The sequence below is a fragment of the Homo sapiens genome, chromosome 16 (assembly GCF_000001405.40).
Source record: "Homo sapiens chromosome 16, GRCh38.p14 Primary Assembly".
In the NCBI taxonomy this organism is placed as follows: Eukaryota; Metazoa; Chordata; class Mammalia; order Primates; family Hominidae; genus Homo; species Homo sapiens.
In genome coordinates this window covers 32,310,869-32,333,373 of record NC_000016.10, presented here as the reverse complement: position 1 = coordinate 32,333,373, position 22,505 = coordinate 32,310,869, and the positions used below count along the sequence as shown (strand labels likewise).

The following is a 22,505-nucleotide window of genomic DNA, read 5'->3' as shown; positions in this document are numbered from 1 at the left end:
TGAGATAAAATAATGAGATGAAATGATGAGGTGAATGAGATGAAATGAGATAAGAGGAGACGATGAGATGAAATGATGAGATGAAATGATGAGATGAAATGAAATGAAATAATGAAATAATGAGATGAAATGATATGAAATAATGAAATAAAATGAAATTGAAATAAAATTGAAATGAGATGAGATGAAATAATAAGATGAAATGAAATAAAATGATGAAATGATGAGATGTGATGAGATGAAATGATGAGATGACATGACATGAAATAATGAAATGAAATAATGAAATGAAATTGAAATGAGATGAGAAGATATAAGATGAGATGAAATGATGAAATGATAAGATGAAATGAGTTGATGAGATGATGAGATGAAATGATGAGATGAAAAGAGATGAAATGAGATGAAATTAGATGAAATGAAATTAGATGAAATGTAATGAGATGAAATGAAATGACATAATGAAATGAAATAATGAAATGAGGTGAAATTAAATGAGATGATGAAATTAAATGATGAAATGAAATAATGAAATGGAAATGGAAATGATGAGATGAGATGAAATGATGAGATGAATGATGAGATGCAATGATGAGATGAAATGATGAGATGAGATGAGATGTAATGATGAGATGTAATGAAATGAGATGAAATGAATGAGATGAAATGAAATAATGAAGGAAATTGAAATGAGATGAAATGAGATAAAATGAGATGAAATAAGAAATGATGAGATGAAATGATGAAATGCTGAGGTGAGATGAGGTGAAAGGAGATGAAATGAAAGGATGAGATGAAATGATGAGATGAGATGAAATGAGATGAGGTGAGATGAGATGAAATGAGATGAAATGATGAAATGCTGAGGTGAGATGAGGTGAAAGGAGATGAAATGAAAGGATGAGATGAAATGATGAGATGAGATGAAATGAGATGAGGTGAGATGAGATGAAATGAGATGAAATGATGAAATGATGAGATGAAATGAGGTAAGATGAGATGAAATGATGAGATGAGATGAAATGAAATAAAGTGAAATGAAATGAAATAATGAAATTGAGATGAGACGAAATGAGTTAAACTGATGAGATGAAATGATGAGAAGAAATGAGATGAAATGATGAAATGATGAGATATGATGAGATGAAATGATGAGATAAAAATGATGAGATGAAATGAGATGAATTGAAATGAGATGAAATGAAATAATGAAATAATGAAATGAGATGAAATGAGGAAATGATATTGAAATGAAATTGAAAGATGAGATGAGATGAAATGATGAAATGAAGAGATGTGGTGAGATGAAATGATGAGCTGAAATGATGAGACGAAATGAAATGAGATTAAATGAGATGAAAAATGATGAGATGAAATGATGAGATGAAATGAGATGAGATGAATTGAGATGAGATGAGATGAAATAATGAGATTAGGTGAAATAATGAAATGAGATGAAATGAAATAATGAAATTGAAATGAGATGAGAAGAAATGATGAGATGAAATGTTGAAAGGAGGAAATGATGAGATGAGATGAAATGATGAGATGAAATGAATTGAGATGAAATGATGAGATGAAAAATGATATGAAAAATGATGAGATGAAATGAGATGATATGAAGTGACATAATGAAATTAGATGAAATTAAATGAAATAGTGAAATGAAATAATGAAAATGAAATGGAAATGAGATGAGATTTGATGAAATGATGAGATGATATGATGAGATAAAATGAGATGAAATGATGAGATGAAATGATGAAATGAGATGAAATGATGAGATGAAATGATGAGGTGAAGTGATGCACTGTCACGTGTGTGTCTATTCTTTTTCCCAACCAACAAAAATTACAATTCATTTTAATTTTATTATTTAAGAATATTCTTAAGAGTTGAAGGAAAAATAATATCTACATTATGGGTTACAATCTAAGTATAAATAATACATAAATATATTAAAACTTACAAAGAATATGTTTTGGAATCAAATATACCATGCTTCTGTGATGACAGTTATTTCATGCTGGTTGTCACAATTTTACATGAAAAACTAATGAAAAAGTGTTTTTAACTGTTTCTAAAAATAAGTTTCCAAAAGAGTTTTACATTCGAAATATGAAAAAGATGTCTTTGCGTTCCTTAATCTGATGAGATTTTCACACTCTGCACATGATAATTGTTAGATTTTTATTGTGTTGATAAATTGTATATCAAATAAAAAATGTTATTACCTCTTAAATTAGGATTTTTAGGTGATATAGGCAGAAAGGAAGGCAAGTTTTTATAACTTTGTCTAAATGAACTTTCTAAATGCCTGAGTATTAAAAGATAACGTCTATAAATCACAATGTATATATTACTGTATGACCTAGGACCAATCAAAACCGTTACCTCTGATAACATTATATTGTGCCCAATATAAAATAGATATAATAATACCTCAAACATAAATCCAGGCATTGTCATTGAATATCTTAAGAATATGCAGCAAAGGTGCTTTTAAAAATACAAGCTAGTGATTGTACTAAATTTGTAAATTACATAGGATAGTGGGTCATTTTAAGAATATTAGTTATTTCAATCTATAAACGTGGATGTCTTTTTTGTGTTTTCTTTAATTTCTTTCATTAATATTCGTCATTTTTGTTGTAGAAATCTTTTACTTCCTTGGTTAAATTTATTTCTAAGTACATTTTTGTAGCTATTGTAAAAGGAATTGCTTTCTTAATTTCTTGTTTCAGCTAGTTTACTATCAATATATAGAAATGCTACTGATTTTTGTATGTTGATTTATATCCTGCAACTTTATTAATTTCATGTATCACCCTAAGAAGCTTTTGGTAGCATCTTATTTTTTTCCGTGTATAAGATCACATTGTCTTTAAACAAGGACAATTTGACTGTCTCCTTTCCAATTCAGATATCCTGTATTTCTTTCTCTCACCTAATTGTCCTGGCTAAGACTTTCACTATGTGAAATATGATTGGTGAAAATAGGCATCCTTTTCTTGTTACAGTAAAATCTTTTTCTTGTTCACAGTAAAATCTTTCACCTTTTCCACACTCAGTATGATCTTAGCTGTAGATTTGTCCTTTATGTCCTTCTGTGTTAAGGCATATATTTTCTATACTAAATTGTTAAGAGGTTTTTTGTCATGTAAGAATATTTAATTTTGCCAAATGCTTTTATTGTGTTTATTAATTTGATCATATGGTTTTCAGTATATATCCAAAGGAAAGAAAATCAGTATATCAAAGAGTTACCTGCACCTGCATGTTTATTACAACACTATTCACAATAGCCAAGATATGGAATCAACAAAAGTGTCCATCAACAGATGAATGGATAAAGAAATGTGACATACATATATAATGGAATATTATTTAGTCATAATAAAGAACAAAATCCTGTTATTTGTGGCAACAAGAATGCAAGTGGAGGGCACTATGTTAGGTGAAATAAGCCTGGCATAGAAACATAAACACCACATAACTACGTGTTCTCACTTATGTATGGAAGCTAAAATTTTTAATCTCGTAGAAGTAGATAGTAGAGTTTTGGTTACCATATCCTGGAAAGAGTAGGAGAAAGAAGAGTATAAGAAAAATGTGGTTAATACATACAAAATTACAGGTGGAGAGAAGGAAGAAGTTCTAGTTCTCTACAGCACTGTTGGGTGACTGTAGTTAACGGGAATTTATTGTGTGTTTTCAAATAACTAAAATAAAAGATTTTGAATATTCTCACTGAAAAGAAATAATACATGATTTAGGTAATGGATGTGATAATGACTGTGACTTGATCTTTATGCATTGCATAAATATATCAAAATATCACTCTGTACCCCATAACATGTACATTTATTATATGTCAAAGTAAATTTAAAAGAGAAAAAATGAGGTAAAGGTAAATGTACAGAATTTAATTACTTTTTCTTCTATAAAACCCAAGAGTCAGTACCAAGAAGAGTCAATTTATTAGTTTTCTAAAATAAAAAAAATCAAAGTCGCCAAAAAAGAGCAATATCCAAGAAAACATTGAAAATGAAACACAACGTTTAGTAAGAATAGAAAACTTGGGCACTGTATCACCCTGTTCCTAGATACCGATTTACTGATAGCAATTTAAATAGAATTTTATTCTATCTAATTCGTTTATACTCCCAGAGTTCGAAATTACATTTTACCTACAATAAATGAGATAACACTTGCAAATTATATGGTACTCTGCCTAACACACGTTAATAACTCAATACATGTTAGCAATAAACTTTTAGTATAGTAGTCAAAGTATTAATTTCTCACATTGCAAAGTTGCTTCAAAGACATGAATACAACCTTTCTAATGACTCCTCGTTCATCAAGATACCTCTTCAAATTATTCTATTTCTTTCATTCAGTGTATTATCTGTGTATACCGATATGATATTACACTCTTTTTTTTTTTTTTTTTGAGATGGAATCTCATTCTGTTACTGATGCTGGAGTGAGGTGGCATGATCTGCAACCTCCACCTCCCAGGTTCAAGCGATTCTCCTGTCTCAGCCCCCCAAGTAGCTAGGACTACAGGTGCACACCACCATGCCTGGCTAATTTTTGTATTTTTAGTACAGTCAGAGTTTCACCCTGTTGTCCAGGCTGGTCTCGAACTCCTGACCTCAGGTGATCCACCCACCATGGTCTCCCAAAGTGCTGGGATTACAGGCATAAGCCACCGCACCCAGCCTGATATTGCACTCTTGGATTTTGAACACTGAATATCTTTTTGAGAGATTACACCTCTTTACCTCTTTGTGCTTCAGAAATTATCTTCCTTCAAGTGTTCTAAGAGTCTAATGAAGAATGAAGTCATGTTTTATCACTTTTGTCCTTAAAGATTTCAGACATGCTGAAACTGATTGAAGTATCATTTGCTACCAGATAGATTAATTATCTCTAGTTGTAGGAGTGGATACATCTTTAATGGTATATTTTGGGTTATTGTCTTATTTTTGATGCAGTGTTCTATAAATAATTTATTAAACCTGGCATCCTTGGGTGAGCCTGGATTTTTCAACTTTGGTGTTATATTGTGTTTGCTTTTAAAAACTGCTTTTGAGGCCGGGTATGGTGGCTCTTGCCCATACCCAGCACTTTGGGAGGCCAAGGTGGGCGGATTACCTCAGGTCAGGAGTTCAAGACCAGCCTGGTCAACATGGCAAAACCATGTCTCTACTGAAAACACAAAATTAGCCAGGCATGGTGGTACATGCTTGTAGTCCTAACCACTCAGGAGGCTGAGGCAAGACAATCACCTGAACCTGGGAGGCAAAGGTTGCTAGGTTGCTGTGAGCCAAGTTCGCACCATTGCACTCCAGCCTGGGTGAAAAGAGCAAAACTCTGTCTCAAAAAAAAAAAAAAAAAAAAAAAACCACCAAAAACTGCTTTTGAATGGAGTTGTACATACAATCTTTATGAAAAAAAATATCAAGTGCATAAGTTCATAATAGAAAAGCCAATAATACTCCAGGCACAAGTTAGTACTAAAAAAGTTATGTTGAATATTCTCTAATACAACATGCTTTTTCCCTTCATGAACGACTTGTGTTTTACTGAGAAGAGTCATTGTTTATGGTAGACATTAGACTACAGATGAATATGTACTTTAAACACTCTTAGTTGCTTTCGTAATTTTATATCTGCTGCTTTATGCTTCTGTTTATTTTCATTCTTTCCAATGTCCACATTCTAGTAAATTTGAATATTTTAATCCAAGTTTATATACTATTTAATATTGCTTGTATAGTTTAGTATTTTTAAGACTCAAAAAGGTTTACAGAAAGAAGAAAAAGATCAACATGTTATTAATCATTTAAAGATCATTTTAAAATCTTTGACCTTTATATTTTAATGAATAAAATGTTGGTAGTTATTAGTATAAAATAATTTATGTCTTTTGGACTTAGCATCCAGTATTTCTTTTTTAATAAAGAAAATAATTATTCTCTTGCAATATACTACGTTTATCTGGGTTTTGAAAAATGATGTTTCCTAATATGAGAAAGCCATTTACATTTTTAAATCTACAAAGGCAAATGGAATGGTACTAAATTATTTACATAATAATGTTTAGGTGGTGGCCCTTATAACATTCTTTCTATACTTCCTACAGAGTTGGGGATATGCAATCCTAGAATATTTCTGGGAGCTAATCCTTTAGCTTGATGAATGAAACAAGACTTTTAAATAAAATTAAACTTTCAAATTATCCAGGTAATGGGCCTGTCTTTTTTTTTTTTTTTTTTTTTTTGAGACGGAGTCTCGCTCTGTCGCCCAGGCTGGAGTGCAGTGGCGGGATCTCGGCTCACTGCAAGCTCCGCCTCCCGGGTTCACGCCATTCTCCTGCCTCAGCCTCCCAAGTAGCTGGGACTACAGGCGCCCGCCACTACGCCCGGCTAATTTTTTCTATTTTTAGTAGAGACGGGGTTTCACCGTTTTAGCCGGGATGGTCTCGATCTCCTGACCTCGTGATCCGCCTGCCTCGGCCTCCCAAAGTGCTGGGATTACAGGCGTGAGCCACCGCGCCCGGCCGGGCCTGTCTTTTAATTCAATGGATATGGAGCATAATGAATTATCCCCTGTTCATTGGGTAATAAGTTCTCATTCTTAACTTCTAATACTCAAAATGTCCTTTAATTTTTAATTTTCGATAGTCATATCATTATCCCTAGGTATTTTAGCTTCTATCTTAAATTCTAAAATAATTTTGAAACAGGAGAAAGTATTCTTTATTACTATATGTATTAAACATCATGGTTTTCAAATTTAACTGCAAATGTATCTTTTCATTGCTTCTTGGTGACGCCCTTCACCCTATCCATATTGTCACTACCAAGTGGTGATTACTTTTCAGGTTCACATACTTGTTCTTTAGAAAAATCTTCCCTGTGCCTTATAAAGAATATGATTGTTGGCATTCAAAAGCCAGCGAAGTATACATTATTAGCCTGTTGCCTAACTCATTTCTTTAAGAAACTACACTAATTACCCACATACTTATGTTTTTATTTCCTCATTATTTCTGGAGAAAACAAATACTGCTAACATGATATTTGTAAGAGAGAAAAAAGTCTTTTCTTGAAAAGTGCTGTCATTGTAGTACTAACTTATAGTATCAACTTCTTTATCAACTCCTTATACACTTTTTATTCTGAGAGAAATAAAAAAGCTAAAAGTGAAATGACTTTTTTTACTCTCCATATTATAAGCACCCATCTTGGTAATTTAGGGTCTTTATAGTTAGGGTAAGTTGTGTCATATCGAGGTTACAAAATAATAAGTATTTTGTCTCTTTGGGCCTTTCCTTATTCAGTAATACTGTCAGTTTGGCTTTTTTTCTAGGTCAACTTATTGATCTCAGTATTCTGAAATAATATGTTTACTACCTTTTGATAAGCATTTAAAATATTAGATTTATTGTTACTCTTCTGCCTTCATTGGGCTGGAAGAATAATTGTTTCTCTCACTCCACAAAAGCCAAGTTGCAGAGAAAAACACATAGACATTCAACTGCAAAGCAGAGAAACTTGACTATTTCCTGCAATTTTAAAGTGTATATTGAATAAAACCATCTTTTTATTTTCTTTTTTGCTCACTGGCAAATATTAACAACATCAAGTGTGTTATTATAATGTTATCTAGTTAAAAATCTCAAAAAGTTTTCATAATTACCATTTAAAAATATATAAATAGGTGACCTAATGTTAATTTGTATTGTCTGAGACCATGTCTGTTATTTCACTCTTTAAATTCAGTTAGTCATGCAGAACCTAGCACTTAGTGGATACTCAAAAATTATTTGCTGGATAAAAAAAAGGTTAAACATGTAATATATACAAAATGTACTAGAAAAAATGCACCAAACAATTTTGTTATAGCAGTTTAATGTAGAATATTGCCTTTAAAAGATAATATAGTTTTCAGGTGTCTACGGTGATTTTGTAATATTTGTGCACATATAAAATAATATTTCCAAAAATGTAATCCAGTGAGGAAATATACTTTCTAAATTCTAGATTTATAATTTAGGGTTTAAATTATAAAATCATTAAGACACAAGTGAAATATAGTCAAATATCCCCTTGGAAAAAAATTAAGTGGCCTCTAAAGTGAGGTATTCATATATGTAATTTTACAATCCTCTAGTGATAGAATTAATTAAATACACCACCAAATTGATTAATTCCTACAGTGTTAAAAGAGAAGCACTAATAATGCCAGTGACCATGTAACATGGATTAAGCTACAAGTCATAGAAATGTGATGAGAAGCCTCAGCGCTGTAAAACAGAGGGTGGAGGAAAGCTTTTCCTCTCTCAAATGAGATTTGCCAAGTATACTTCTTGAAGAATAGGAAGTTGAAGTGTTCAGGACTTTTATGACTATTCTACTTTGGCTTAGTTTACATGATTCTTAGTTTATTAGCCTAGAAATGGCCAAGAAAACTTAAGGCTCAATAATTAGTTATAAATATGAAATATCCCCAATTTTTAAGATAAAAACAACTTATAAATGTATTTGTCTGTAAAAATTGTGTATATTTTTACAGAACATCTATTTCTTTCTTTTTTTATTTTTTTATTATACTTTAAATTCTAGGGTACACATGCACAATGTGCAGGTTTGTTGCATATGAATACATGTGCCATGTTGGTGTGCTGCACCCATTAACTCATCATTTATATTAGGCATATCTCCTAATGCTATCCCTCCCCCCTCCCCCCACCCCACAACAGGCCCTGGTGTGTGATGTTCCCCTTCCTGTGTCCAAGTGTTCTCATTGTTCAATTCCCATCTATGAGTGAGAACATGCGGTGTTTGGTTTTTTGTCCTTGTGATAGTTTGCTAAGAATGATGGTTTCCAGCTTCATCCATGTCCCTGCAAAGGATATGAACTCATCATTTTTTATGGCTGCATAGTATTCCATGGTGTATATGTGCCACATTTTCTTAATCCAGTCTATCGTTTTTGGACATTTGGGTTTGTTCCAAGTCTTTGCTATTGTGAGTAGTGCCACAATAAACATACGTGTGCATGTGTCTTTATAGCAGCATGATTTATAATCCTTTGGGTATATACCCAGTAGTGGGATGGCTGGGTCAAATGGTATTTCTAGTTCTAGATCCCTGAGGAATGGCCACACTGTCTTCCACAATGGTTGAACTAGTTTACAGTCCCACCAACAGTGTAAAAGTGTTCCTATTTCTCCACATCCTCGGCAGCACCTGTTGTTTCCTGACTTTTTAATGATCGCCATTCTAACTGGTGTGAGATGGTATCTCATTGTGGTTTTGATTTGCATTTCTCTGATGGGTCTATTTATTTAAAACAAAGGGAGGGAAGTCTCATTTACATTCGTTTTTTTCATAGCCTTTTGAACTTTGCAATTTCTATGTTTCAGAACCTATTTCTTACAGTTTTTCTATGCTAAACTCTGTCCTGGTCAGTTCTAGAGTGTATGAAGAACCAAATGATGTAACTGTATGCGACCTGGCTGTAGTGGAACAAATTTGACTCTTAAGTATGCAGGCTCTAATTTTCCTGTCTGGTTTTGGTAAGTATTCCTTACACAGGTTTTTTTCTTTGAAAATCTGGGATTGAGAGGTTGATGAATGAAAATTAATCCTTTCACTTTGTTGTGTATAGGTTTGCAATAATTAGGTCAGAGTGGAGTTTTAAGGTCATGGAGGGGGCTGATGACTTACAAATAATGGGCTCTGATTGGGCAACTACTCATCTGAGTTCCTTCCACTTGACCTAATTAAGCTTGTGAAATTTACACTAAGCCATGAGTTCATCTTTAAAAAGTTTTATTAAAAGATTTTCAGCTGTTCCAAATAGGACTTATTGGTGGAATGTGTTTTAAAGGATCATATCAGATGAATGAAAGGTATTTGATCCTTTGTTTCCTTAATAATAAAATGATGGTTTGGAAAAATAGGCTAGAGTCTAACCACAGTGCTATTATTAAGGCTTTCTTGTTAAACATAGGTCTAAGCCTAAGTATGTCAATACAACAAATACTTAGTGTTTCATTTCTAGTAATAAAAAAATAAAGTCTTTCTGGCATAAGGATGATTTTCATCTGGTTATTTTGAAACATTTTTGTAAAATAAATTTCCATCTATAAAGAACATTTTTAATTTGTAAGGAGGGGTATGTCTCTGTGCACTGGAAGAGAGGGAGGACTAAATCACTGGGAAGTCTTATGATAAAGAAGCCATTGGCTTAAATCAGCAAAGCAAGCCATCCTTTGGTTTAAGGTGTTTTTCCTGGCCATCCTGTCTTGACTAGAACTTTACCTACACCTTCCTTTTTGGTTTAGGCAAATTATCATATCTCAACCTGAAGTCTCAGCTCTGTGTCTTTGAGATATAAATGTTCTACCACGTCTTCTCTGGAACCTGATAACTATCTATCTCTTTAAAATGCAAGTCTAGGGAGATGACTCATCAGAAAAAGAAGAAAAAAGAGGTATTTGGAAATTGTGCAAATTAAAGCAGCCCCTGATGCCAAAGTCTACACATTCCTGAGTGAGTCAGTTCTGGCCAGTTCTAGCTGGATCAAGAGAGCTCTGCTGGGCAAGCCTGAAGAGCACCTGGATGGCAGACACCTGAGGAGCCAGGTGCCTGAAACTTCCTCCACCTGGTTGAGGAGCGCTAAAGCCCAGGTGCTGGCTGGACAACCCCTTCTGGTTGCCTAAGCAGGTGGCAGAAGAAGGAAACAAGGTCAGAGGCAGAGTGTTGAACCCTGCCTCCCAGGTGGGTGGAAGATGCCTGTCGCCAAACTAGGGCCCAGCTTGCCGGGTGAGATGGGTGAACTGGTGATCCCCCGAGAGAGTGGACGTCAGAACTACATGGTCCTGGACCTCACCTCGGCCAGCGAAGGAGAGAGAGGGTTAATGTTAACTGCACGAGGCCCACTCTAGCCTTAAATTCTGAAATTCAAACCCTTCCCTTGGAGACAAAACAAACATGACAAGGAATTCTGACATCAGGGGACAAGAATCACAAGTTCCCTAGTGGGAGACTGAGGAGGCAGTGTCCTTCCTGCCCTTGGTCTACTGGCTAAGAACCTTCCTCAGCCTGACCTTTCCACATTGCACTTCCAGCTCTGTTTGCAATTTTCCTCCTTTAGTGCTGAGGGAATCCCAGTGTTCGATCCTGAAATCTATAGGTTCCTAATGGGTGGTTAAAAAAAACCTCAGCGAGAGAAGCAGAAAATGTTTCCTCTTCCTGAAAAACTGTAGAAAGGCAGGCACCATTCTGGGTGAGGACATGGTCCTTGCAAATGTCTTTGTGTTTTGTTTTGTTTTTTTATTTTGAGATGAAGTTTTGCTCTTGTTGCCCAGACTGGAGTGCAGTGGTGTGACCTCTGCTCATTGCAACCTCCGCCTCCTGGGTTCAAGCAATTCTCCTACCTCAGCCTCCTGAGTAGCTGGAATTACAGGCACCTGACACCACACCTGGCTAATTTTTTGTATTTTTAGTAGAGATGGGGTTTTGCCATGTTGGCCATGTTGGTCTCTTAACTCCTGACCTCAAGTGAGCCACCCGCTTCTGCCTCCCAAAGTGCTGGGATTACAGGAGTGAGCCACCGTGTCCCACTGTGAGTGAGTGAGCCACGGCAAAAGTCTTTAAAGACAGCATGTTTCAGAGGCTGTGACGGTGCCCTGTGAACACGCCAAATCTCGCAGTCCCGGGAGCTCTGAGGAGCAGGCCCAGCTCCTTGCCAGGCTGATGGTACTGAAACTCTGCTCTCCAAGACATAACCTGATGGCCGTGCAAGATTTCTTAATTGACTGTGGACCGTGAGAGTCTGCATCTCATTTTAATTAAGACAGGAAAAGAAAGAACAAAAGAGCAACTCCCAGGTTATAGAGAGACTGGATTTTAGTATAATATTCAAGTGTAGCATTGCTAATAATAACAAACCTTTCCCCTCCCAAACGGTAAACACTTGCACTGCCTATTATACAAAAATTCAGCCATCCTCTCTGTTCCCCCGATATCTCCTCCCCAGTGACCCCCCTCATGCGGCCTCATGAGCCTGGCCAGTGGTGAATGGCGCTTTCATGGGCATGAGACTCCACGTGAGTGGGACTCAGCTGGGACCCCTCTCCACGTGGGAGCTGGAGAAGCCACCCTAGTACCAGCTTAAAGTGTCCGTGATGTCCCTGCTGCTGAGGTAGGGGCCGCCTCTGAGCTGGTCTCGGGGTGTGAGCTGCTGCTGGTAGTGGGCTCTGCCCTGAGGGCCTGGTGGCTGGTCGGAAGGGCAGGCACACATGGGTGACTCCCCAGGATCTCAGGCCACCTCCCCACCACAGTCCTGCACTGTGTGTTCCAGGCATGTGCTGAGTGCCTGGTCAATCACCAGTGCCCTATTGATCCCCGTCTCCAGAGAGATCATTTAGCGTCACTCCACAGAGGGGGAAACTGAGGCCCAGAGAAGTAAGGTGACTCTCCCCAGTCACAGGTCTGGTCAGGAGTAGGATGGGAGGCTAGTCCCTTGCTGTCTGACTCCCTGAGCCCACCCATATCCCAAGGCAGCCAACCTCTGCCCGCCCTGGCTCAGGCCCCGACTGGCCCCTGTGGTGGGTGATGTCTATCTTCCTGGCCTTTGTGCTCCCAGCCAACTGGGATGGAGCCTCCAGCTGGCATGATAGGTTGTAGCTACGGACAGAAGAGTGGCTGTGAGGCTGCCAGGAATCTCACCAGGGCCCCCTCCCAGGGCCTGTCCAGAGTGAGGTCTGGGTACCCCAGGCATTGCCAGACCACAGGATCTGATGTTGGCCAAGAGGCTATGGCCACAGGCTTTCTGAGGCTGGCCCCCAGGGAGAGTTCAATCCTACTGTCCCAATTCCTGCCCTGGCCTTACCTCTCAGTCTCACCGAGTCGCTTCATGGTCCCAAACCAGGACCCAAAGTGCTGCTTGGGCTTAAGGTTGTAATTATTTGCAGCCAACTGGAGCAGCGGACCTCCTTGCTTACTTTGAATTCCTGGGTCCAGAGGGAAAAACTGGGTGGTGACAGGGACTGGACAGGGATGCCACAGGGGCCCTGTGGGGGTGTTAGGTGGGGTGGTGGCCAGTCTTTGCTCATAGGGGACCCCCTCCTCCTCTCCAGTCCTGTCCCCACCTGTTCTCAGAGCTGGCTCAAGCAGCAGCTCCTCCAGGAAGGTGTCCTTGGTTTCAACCTGGTACTCCCACCTGCAGGTCTTCCTGGAGTGTCTCCTCTTTGTCTGTCTCCCCATAAATCTAAGACGAGGGGGATGGATTTGCCCACGGCTACTCACCGTATGACTCTTGTGCGGTTGATCTGTCTCCCATGCAAGGCCAACAGCTGAAGTCCATCAGAAAGGGTCCTCTGGCCCAGAGCCAGCCCCTGCCCACCCCTGTCATGCTGCACCCAGGGTGCAAGACCCAGATCAGGTCTGGGTGACAGGAGGGGTATAGAGGGGCTGAGGCTCAGGGGCCTTCTAGCCTAACTTGTCTGGAGACAGTTGGGGAAACTGAGACCCCAAGCAGGGAGGTATGGCTCCGAGAGATTATTCTCATTAACCTGGAACACTTTTGCAAGCTGTTAGGTGTAGGAAGTCTGTCACAGGTAAGAGGAATGCTTTTTGAGAGCATGAGAGACAGCAGGGTTGTGACAATATTGAAACACCACTGTGCAGATTCACCAATTGCCACCACCAGGAGCCCCCTGAGAGTCATTGCAGATGCACAGCCCTCCCCTGCAACCCCTGGACCTCCCCATGGTCTGGCACCTAAAGAGTTATGACTCATGGCAGGAATCAGGGCCCTCAGGATGCCCTGCCCACTCCAAGGTTTGCCTCTGCTCTGATTGGTCACTGCCATTCAGATTGTCACCCAAATATAAGGACGTTAGCAGAAAGACTCATTCAATACAAGTGGACTCAGACATAGATAGGATTTGGGTTGCAAAAAGCCCCTTTTGTTCTTTTATTTTATTTTGGAAAAAACTGTTATTGTGAAAATTCACACATATATATAGAAAAAAACTCAATCAATGCAAAAGGATAGACAATGAACAAATGAATTCCCCTTCCACTCCAGATCCGCACCTCAGATCCAGACCTCCTGAGCCCACTTCCCCCATCTCATCACAGATCCAGACCTCCTGAGCCCACTTTCCCCATCTCATCACAGATCCAGACCTCCTGAGCCCACTTTCCCCATCTCATCACCAGTGATTTCTTGGGCTCTGCATTAGTTTTCTATTGCTGCTGCAACAAACAGCTACAGACTCAGTGGCTTCCATTTCTGTCTTATAGTTCTGGTTGCCAAAATTCCTAAGAGGATCTCACTGGGCTAAAATCAAGGTGCCAGCGGGGCTATGTCCCTTCTGGAGGCTTAAGGGATGAATCGGCTCCCTGCCTTTTCTAGCTTCTAGGGGCTCCAGCTTCTAGGTTTGTGGCCTTCTTTCTCTATCCTCAAAGCCAGCAACAGCAGGTGAAGTCCTCGCCCATCGTGCATCACTCTCCCTTCTGCCTCCTTCAACTTTTTTTTTTTTTTTTGTATTTAGGGGGAACGAGTACAGGATTCTTACATAGTCAAAAAGCTCCTTATAGAGAAGCTCGGAACTTTGAATACAGCTTTGCCTTTTTTGCCATTTTAATTTTCCATTTAATTTAAATGTATTCTCTCATTTGACCTTCATACTCTGTGGAGAAATATTTCTATTTCGGCTTGTATTGACAAGCTGTTTTCACACAGCCCCCGCATCACCCAACCAACCAGCAGAGATCCTCATTCCCATGAAACAGATAAAGAAACTGAGGCCCAGGGAGGCTAAGTCCTGCCAGGATCATTCACCTTCCAAGGTAAGGAGCCATTTCCAGACCTGGGTTTGTGCAGCTCCAAGCTCCCCCGTCTTTCTACAATGCTAGATTTAGACTATAGCAATCTAGCAAGTGTGGCCACACAATGGTCAAGTTGGATTTAGATGATGTTCTCTATAAATCCATTCTCCTCTCCCGTGTAAGCAAGGCAAAGTACTCTAGGCCATGGGGAGTCCCTGAAGACTCGATGAACTGCAGTGGCCACGTCAGGAGGTTGCAGGTTGACCAGAACTCACCGACACAGCAGGAGAGCAGCTTGGAACCTGCAACTCAGCCAAGACCCAGTGCCTTGGATTGAGGGAGAAAACATGCAGCCATTCCTCTCTCTCTCTGTTGGCTAGAGGGGATTCTGGCTTTTCCTGCCAGAGCCACCCCTTTCCCTCCTCCTAAAGTTGATGGTGGTTCTTTAAGGAAAGGGAGAAGTGCACGGTGTGATAGGGCAGGAAGAGAAGAAAACGGAGGAGAGGAGGGGACTTTCCCATAAGCAGGCAGAAGAAAAGGCAGCTGTGGTGTGTGATGGACATGGAAGCAGTGGTGTCCAATGTGGGGTCAGCCCTAGAGGAGAGACAGAGAGAGAGACAGAAAAGTGAGAGAGTCCTGACCCTTACAATTAACATGGGATCTGCCTGCAAGTGCTGTTTAGGGCCATCGCCTCTTCCTGTACTGCTATTTTTGAGAGTGATGCTCCTGAGCCCCATGACCCAGTCAAATTTGATGTCCCCTTGAGCCAGATTCAGTGCTGGGAGTCCAGTGTGATCTGCCTGGATCTTGCTGCATTGAGAACAGGCCAGATCTTGACACCAATACAGGGGGCTGGATATGAACAGGCAACAGCTGGGTTTCTGAGTCAGAAAGACTTGGTTAATTGCTAATTGCTTAGGCGAGTAATTCAATTTTGTTCAGTCAGATTCCTCAGCTATAAAATGCAGATGACAGTACTTATTCCTCCAGGTTGTGGGGAAAATGGAGATTCTGAGCACGATGTCCATTTCACAGAAAGGTACCAATTTGGTGGCTTATTTTCCTTTCTACCTTCAGAAGTAGCTAACCCTGCCACCCAAACAGACCCTTGACTCTCAAGTGGATGGGGTCCCATTTGCACAGGGGGAGAGCTTACAGCCTACATTGAGTCTATACTTACCACTTAGTGAGCATGGTATCCGCTCAGGGGCCTCTGTGGGCATCCGTCTCCTCTGCGGCATCTTTCCTCCCTACCGCTGGGCCTGCACATGACCCCCTCCTTGGGTTAGGCCTCTGATCGGTGATGACCTTGGTATGGTGGTGATGGTCAGTCTTGGCACCAAATGAGCCAGTTTATATCATCAGCTATTCAATAAAACACTAATCTAGGTGTCACCATGAAAGTATTTTGTGACATTGTTATGTACGTGTTGTTACAAATGTGCATGATGCATTTACTACAGCATACAATTTTGCCTGGGTGCCAGCCTGAAGTCTGTCCGACAGATCATAGCCATGTTAGTCCCACAGTCACAGGGGCCAATGGATTAAATTATTTTATCTCCCTTGAGAACTAAAAATAAAATCCTAAGCCCCCCACCCGACTTAGCAGACCCCCTTTTGGCCAACGGAACCCGTTTCTTTTCTTTTTTTTCTTTTTTGATTGAGATGAAGTCTCATGCTTGTCACCCAGGCTGGACTGCAATGGTGCAATCTCAGCTCACTGCAACCTCCGCCTCCTGGGTTCAAGCGATTCTCCTGACTCAGCCTCTCGAGTAGCTGGGATTACAGGCACCTGCCACCATGCCCAGCTAATTTTTGTATTTTTAGTACAGATGGGATTTCACCATGTTGGTCAGGCTGTTCTTGAACCCCTGACCTCAGGCAATCTGCCCGCCTCCCTCCCAAAGTACTGGGATTAGAGGCATGAGCTACCATGCCCGGCCGCCCTTCTCTGTTTCCAGAGCATTTTGTATTAACTCCCTCTCATGATATCTTCCATGATAGGCTGAATAATGGCCCCTCCAAAGTGTCCTCAACTTAATCCCCAGAATCTGTGACTATGTTCCTTTCCATGACAAAAGGGACTTTGCAGATGTGATTAAGCATCTTGAGATGGGAACTTATCCTATGTTGCCTGTGGGCCCAGTGTCCCATCACAGTGCTTTTTTTTTTTTTTTTTTGAGACGGAGTTTCTTGCTCTTGGTGCCCAGGCTGGAGTGCAATGGCACAATCTTGCCTCACTGCAACTCCACCTCCGAAGATTCAAGCGATTCTCTTGCCTCAGCCTCCCGAGTAGCTGGATTACAGGTGCTCGCCAACATGTCCAGCTAATTTTTGTTTTTCCAGTAGAGATGGGGTTTCACCATGTTGGCCAGGCTAGTCTCGAACTCCTGACCTCGTGATCTGCCCACCTTGACCTCCCAAAGTGCTGGGATTACAGGCATGAGCCACCACATCCAGCCTACAGTGCTCTTTTAAGAGGGACTCAGCAGTCAGGGGAGATTCCAATGCGATGGTGACTGAGTGTCTTAGTCTTTTTTGTATTGCTATGCAATATCTGAGACTGGGTAATTTATAAAGAACAAGTTTATTTCTTACAGTTCTGGAGGCTGGGAAGGTCAAGATCAAAGGGCCTGCTTCTGGTGAGGGTCTTCTTGCTGTGTCATCCCATGATGGAAGGTATCACATCAAGAGAGAAAGGGGGCTGAACTCAATCCTTTTATTAGGAACCCATCCGCATGATAATTAACCCTCTGCTGAGATAACATCATTACTCTATTAATGAGGGCAGATCTTTCATGACCTAATCTCCTCTTAAAAGTCCCACCTCTCAACACTTGCATTGGGGATTAAATTTCCAACACATGAACTTTGGGGAACACATTCAAACCATAGCACTGTGCAGAGATTGGAGTGGTGTGCATTAAAAATGGAGGAAAGGGCCACAATCCAGGGAATATAGGTAACCACTAAAAGCAGAAAAAGGCAAGAAAATGGGTTTTCCCTTCAGAGCCTCCTGAAGAAATCAGTACTTTACAACTTGACTTTAGCCAAGTGAAACTGATTTGAGGCTTCTGACCTATAGAACAATAAGATATTAAGTCTGTGTTGTTGTAAGCCAATCAGATCGTGGTAATTTGTTACAGCAGCCATAGAAAACTAATTGACTCACCAATGGGAGAAATCAGCTGCTGACTTAAGGCTAACAAACACCTACTTCCTTTCCTAACCTCACTTTAATTTTATCTTGGAGGAATTCTTTTCCCTATCCCATTAAGTTATGGGAGATGGGGCCAGGCATGGTGGCTTAGCAATCCCAGCACTTTGGGAGGCTGAGGTGGGTGGATCACTTGAGGTCCAGAGTTTGAGACTAGCCTGGCCAACATAGTGAAACCACATCTCTACTAAAAATACAAAAATTAGCCAGGTGTGGTGGTGGGCACCTGTAATCCCAGCTACTCCAGAGGCTGTGGCATGAGAATTGCTTGAACCCAGGAAGCAGAGGTTGCAGTGAGCTGAGATCGCACCACTGCACTCTAGCCTGGGTGACAGAGTGAGAATCTATCTCAAAAAAAAAAAAAAAAAGTCATGGGAGAGGATGGTAAAGCTAAGTATCTTTTGCACCTACTCCCCAGCCCCACCACTGCAGAAGCTGAAGGGGTTCCTAGAGGCTTCTTCTGCCGTGGAGCGGTTCCCACTGGCCCCTAGCTAGAGGTGGGTGTAAGACTTTGAAACATGAACAAATGGAGCTGGGATGGTAATGGCGGGAACAATATTGTGCTAATCTGAACTCTGCACTTCCTAACTTTGTCTCTGGGTAAATTACCTCAAATTGCTGAGCCTTTGTTTCCATATTTATAAAATAGGTGCAGTAAGAGTACCAACCTCTTCTATGCTGTTTGGAGGAGGCAGGTCCATTAGGTACCTGGCATGTGGTAAGGGATTCATGAATGTTGGCTTCTATCATTAAGGGTGGGGGAGCCACATAAGTAGCCAGAGGGAGTCATAGAAAGTTCTTGAGCCAGAGAAGTAAGACAATCTTTTCAGCTTTTTGTGCAGCATAAAAGGCGGGTAATTTGCTTGCCTTTGACCAAGGAAATTTGGGACGTGCCAGGCCTGGGGTGAATGGTGGGAACCCAAGTAGAGGGATATTTCTCATTGGCTGAATTAACTGTGACTCCGTTTTGCGGAGCAGCCAGGTTGCTTCATGGTGGACCTGCTGCATGCCTACATGATGGTGCCGTGGATAGCTCTTGTTTGTGCCAGCCCTGTACCTGATACCTCTTGTGGTAATTGCATCCCTATTTTCCAGAAGGAAGCATCCCTCCTCCCACTTTCTGGTTTTCCCCATGTCCTTCTGGAGGGGATGACCCCAACCGCTTCCTGAAGGAGCTTCATGAAAGCCAGGTCTGGCCAGGCTGGATGTGGTGGTTGGCTCAGGCAGGGGCATGTGGCCCAAACGGGTCCAGTGAAAGTCAGTCCTGGGACTTTGGCTGGAACTATTGGGGAACAGCCTCTGCTTTCTTGCGCAGATGTGAGTTAGGAGCTGCTCAGGCCACTATGTGGAAAGAATTGCGTGAGAATGAAGTAATCAAAGGGAAGCAAGCAGTGAGAGATTAGAGAGACTTATCTTGTATAAGTGCCTGTATCCAGCTATGCCTGAAGTGAGGTACCACCCCAGGCCTTTTCAGTCATGCTATCAGTTTTGTTCCTTTTTTCTGTTTTACTCTTGGTGGAGTTATTTTTTTTTTCCTTGTTACTTGAATAAGAAAAATACCAAACTAGAAGGCTGGGTGCAGTGGTTCATGCCTGTAATCCCAGTACTTTGGGAGGCCAAGGCAGGTGGATCATGAGGTCAGGAGTTTGAGATCAGCCTGACCAACATGGTGAAATCCTGTCTCTACTAAAAATACAAAAAAATTAGCCAGGCGTGGTGGTGCGTGCCTTTAATCCCAGCTACTCAGGAGGCTGAGGCAGGAGAATTGCTTGCATCTGGGAGGCGGAGGTTGCAGTGAGCTGAGATCGTGCCACTGCACTCCAGCCTAGGTGACAGAGCAAGACTCCATCTCAAAAAAAAAACAAAAACAAAAACAAAGAAACAAAACAAAAAAAACAGACTAGTAAATGCAACCATTTACAAATCCCAAGAGACTCTTGAAGATTCTTTTTGTTAGTAGGGAAAACATTCTCCATTTTTCTGCCAACTTTAGGGTTTTCAGAGAAGTTTGGGGGAGAGAAAGGAAAGCAAACAGGTGGGAAGAAAGAGTCCTTGCAGCCCCAAGTCGGGCGAACTCCTCCCAGCTACTTATACCACAGGGTTTTGGGAGCAGAGCCCCTTTCATTAAACTTTTAGGATTCTTGGATGGATAGGGTGGGAATTACACCAGTGAAACTCAGCTTTGTGTGTGCCAGGCATTGGGCCCTGGGATATGCAGTCATGTGTTGTATAATGACATTTTAGTCAATGACAAACCACATGTAAGTCACTGGTACCATAAGACGATTATGGAGCTGAAAAATTCCTATTGCTCAGTGACATAGCCATTGTAATGTTAGGGTAATGCATTTCTGTGTTTCTGGTGATGCTGGTGTAAACAAATCTGTGCTGCCAGTTCTATAAAAGCATAGCATGTACAATTACATACAATATATAATACTTGATAATGAACAACTATGTTACTGGTTTATTTTATTTTTTTGAGACAGAGTCTTGCTCTGTTGCACAGGCTGGAGTGCAGTGGCGCGATCTTGGCTCACTGCAACTTCTGCCTCACAGGTTGAAGCGATTCTTCTGCCTCAGCCTCCTGAGTAGCAGGGAATACAGGCACCCACCACCACGGCCAGCTAATCTTTGTATTTTTAGCAGAGATGGGGTTTCACCACACTGCCCAGGCTGGTCTCAAACTCCTGACCTCAAATCATCTGCCCGCCTCAGCCTCCTGAAGTGCTGGGATTACCCACATGAGACACTGTGCCCAGCCCTGGTGTATTTAGTGTTTTTCATAATTTTAGAATGTATGTCTTCTACTTACATTAAAAAATAGTTAACTATAAAACAGCCTCAGGTAGGTCCTTCAGGAAGTATTCTGGAAGAAGAAGGCATTCTTATCACAGGAGATGACATCTCCATGCGTGTAATTGCCCAGGCGGGAGTGCAGTGGCACGATCTCGGCTCACTGCAACCTCCACCTCCTGGGTTCAAGTGATTCTCCTGTGTCAGTCTCCTGAGTAGCTGGGATTACAGGTGCACACCACCATGCCTGGCTAAGTTTTGTATTTTTAGTAGACATGAGTGTTTCACTACGTTGGCCAGGATGGTCTTGAATTCCCGACCTCAAATGATCTTCCTGCCTTGGCCTCCCAAAGTGCTGGGATTGCAGGTGTGAGACACCATGACCGGCAAAATTTTTTAAGATACATTTCAGTAAGCTAAGGTGAATTTATTGAAGAAAAGCTTTAAAAATTTTTGGTGTAGCCTAAGCATATGGTGTTTATAAAGTCTACAGTAGTGTACAGTAAGGTCCTATGCCTTCACACTCACTGACTCATCCACAGCATCTTCCAGTCCTGCAAGCTCATTTCATGGTAAGTGCCCTATACAGGAGTACCATTTTAAAATCTCTTATACTCTATTCTTACTGTATTTTCTCTATGTTCAGGTACACAAGTACTTACATTGTGTTACAACTGCTTATGGTATATTCAGTAAAGTATCAGGCTGTAAGGGTGTGTAGCCTAGGAGCAATAGGCTACGCCATACAGCCTAGGTGTGTAGTAGGCTATACAAGGTTTGGGTAAATGCACTTTGCTGTTTGCACAATGCTGCAGTCACCTAAGGAGGCATTTCTCAGAACCATCCCATGATTAAGAGAGGCATGATCATATAGTCATCATCACCCTGAAAGCTCAGTCAACCCTCTGCAGTGCTACTGCCACACTCCCCTTTTGCACATGTAGAAATCAAGGATCTTTGGCTCCTCTGAGTGACTAGTTCAAGGTTTCTCAGTTTCCAAGAGATGGAGGTGGGACTTGAATTGAGATTTCCCTTTCTTGAGAACCTGTGGTCCTTAACCATTAAAACCACTTAAGAGGTCTTCTCTCTTGATCACTACCTACTAAGTGCTAGGCGCGGTGCTGAGGCGTTCTCTTGATTATTATATTGAGTCTTTAGATTTAGGAGAAACAGGCTGAGCGTGCTGGCTCACGCCTGTAATCTCAGCACTTTGGGAGGCTGAGGTGGGAGGATCACGAGGTCAGGAGATGGAGACTATCCTGGCTAACACCGTGAAACCCTGTCTCTACTAAAAATACAAAAATTAGCAGGCGTGGTGGCAGGCGCCTGTATTCTCAGCTGCTCGGGAGACTGAGGCAGGAGAATGGCGTGAACCCAGGAGGCGGAGCTTGCAGTGAGCCGAGATCGCGCCACAGCACTCCAGCCTGGGTGACAGAGCGAGACTGTCTCAAAAAAAAAAAAAAAAAAAAAAAGATTTAGGAGAAACAAGTCCCGAAGCCCTGACCCTAACACGCAAGGGTTAGTGGAGATGTGGGACTTGAACTCAGCTTCTCCGTTGACTCTGGCTGTCTCCCTGACGCAGGCATGTGCTCGCACACCTCCACGGTGGCGATCCCGCCCCCTTA

At 41.1% G+C, this 22,505-nt stretch overlaps 1 long non-coding RNA gene across 1 annotated transcript in view; it reads left to right on the top strand.

Annotated features, from left to right (window-relative positions):
• Positions 1 to 16,307, top strand: part of LOC105371191 (translation initiation factor IF-2) — a 32,299-nt gene extending 15,992 nt beyond the window's left edge. Inside the window, exons 6-7 of the long non-coding RNA XR_005647012.2 lie at positions 9,489 to 9,595; positions 14,779 to 16,307. This is a non-coding gene — a long non-coding RNA (translation initiation factor IF-2). The remainder of the gene's footprint in view (positions 1 to 9,488; positions 9,596 to 14,778) is intronic.
• The last annotated feature ends 6,198 nt before the right edge of the window (positions 16,308 to 22,505 follow it).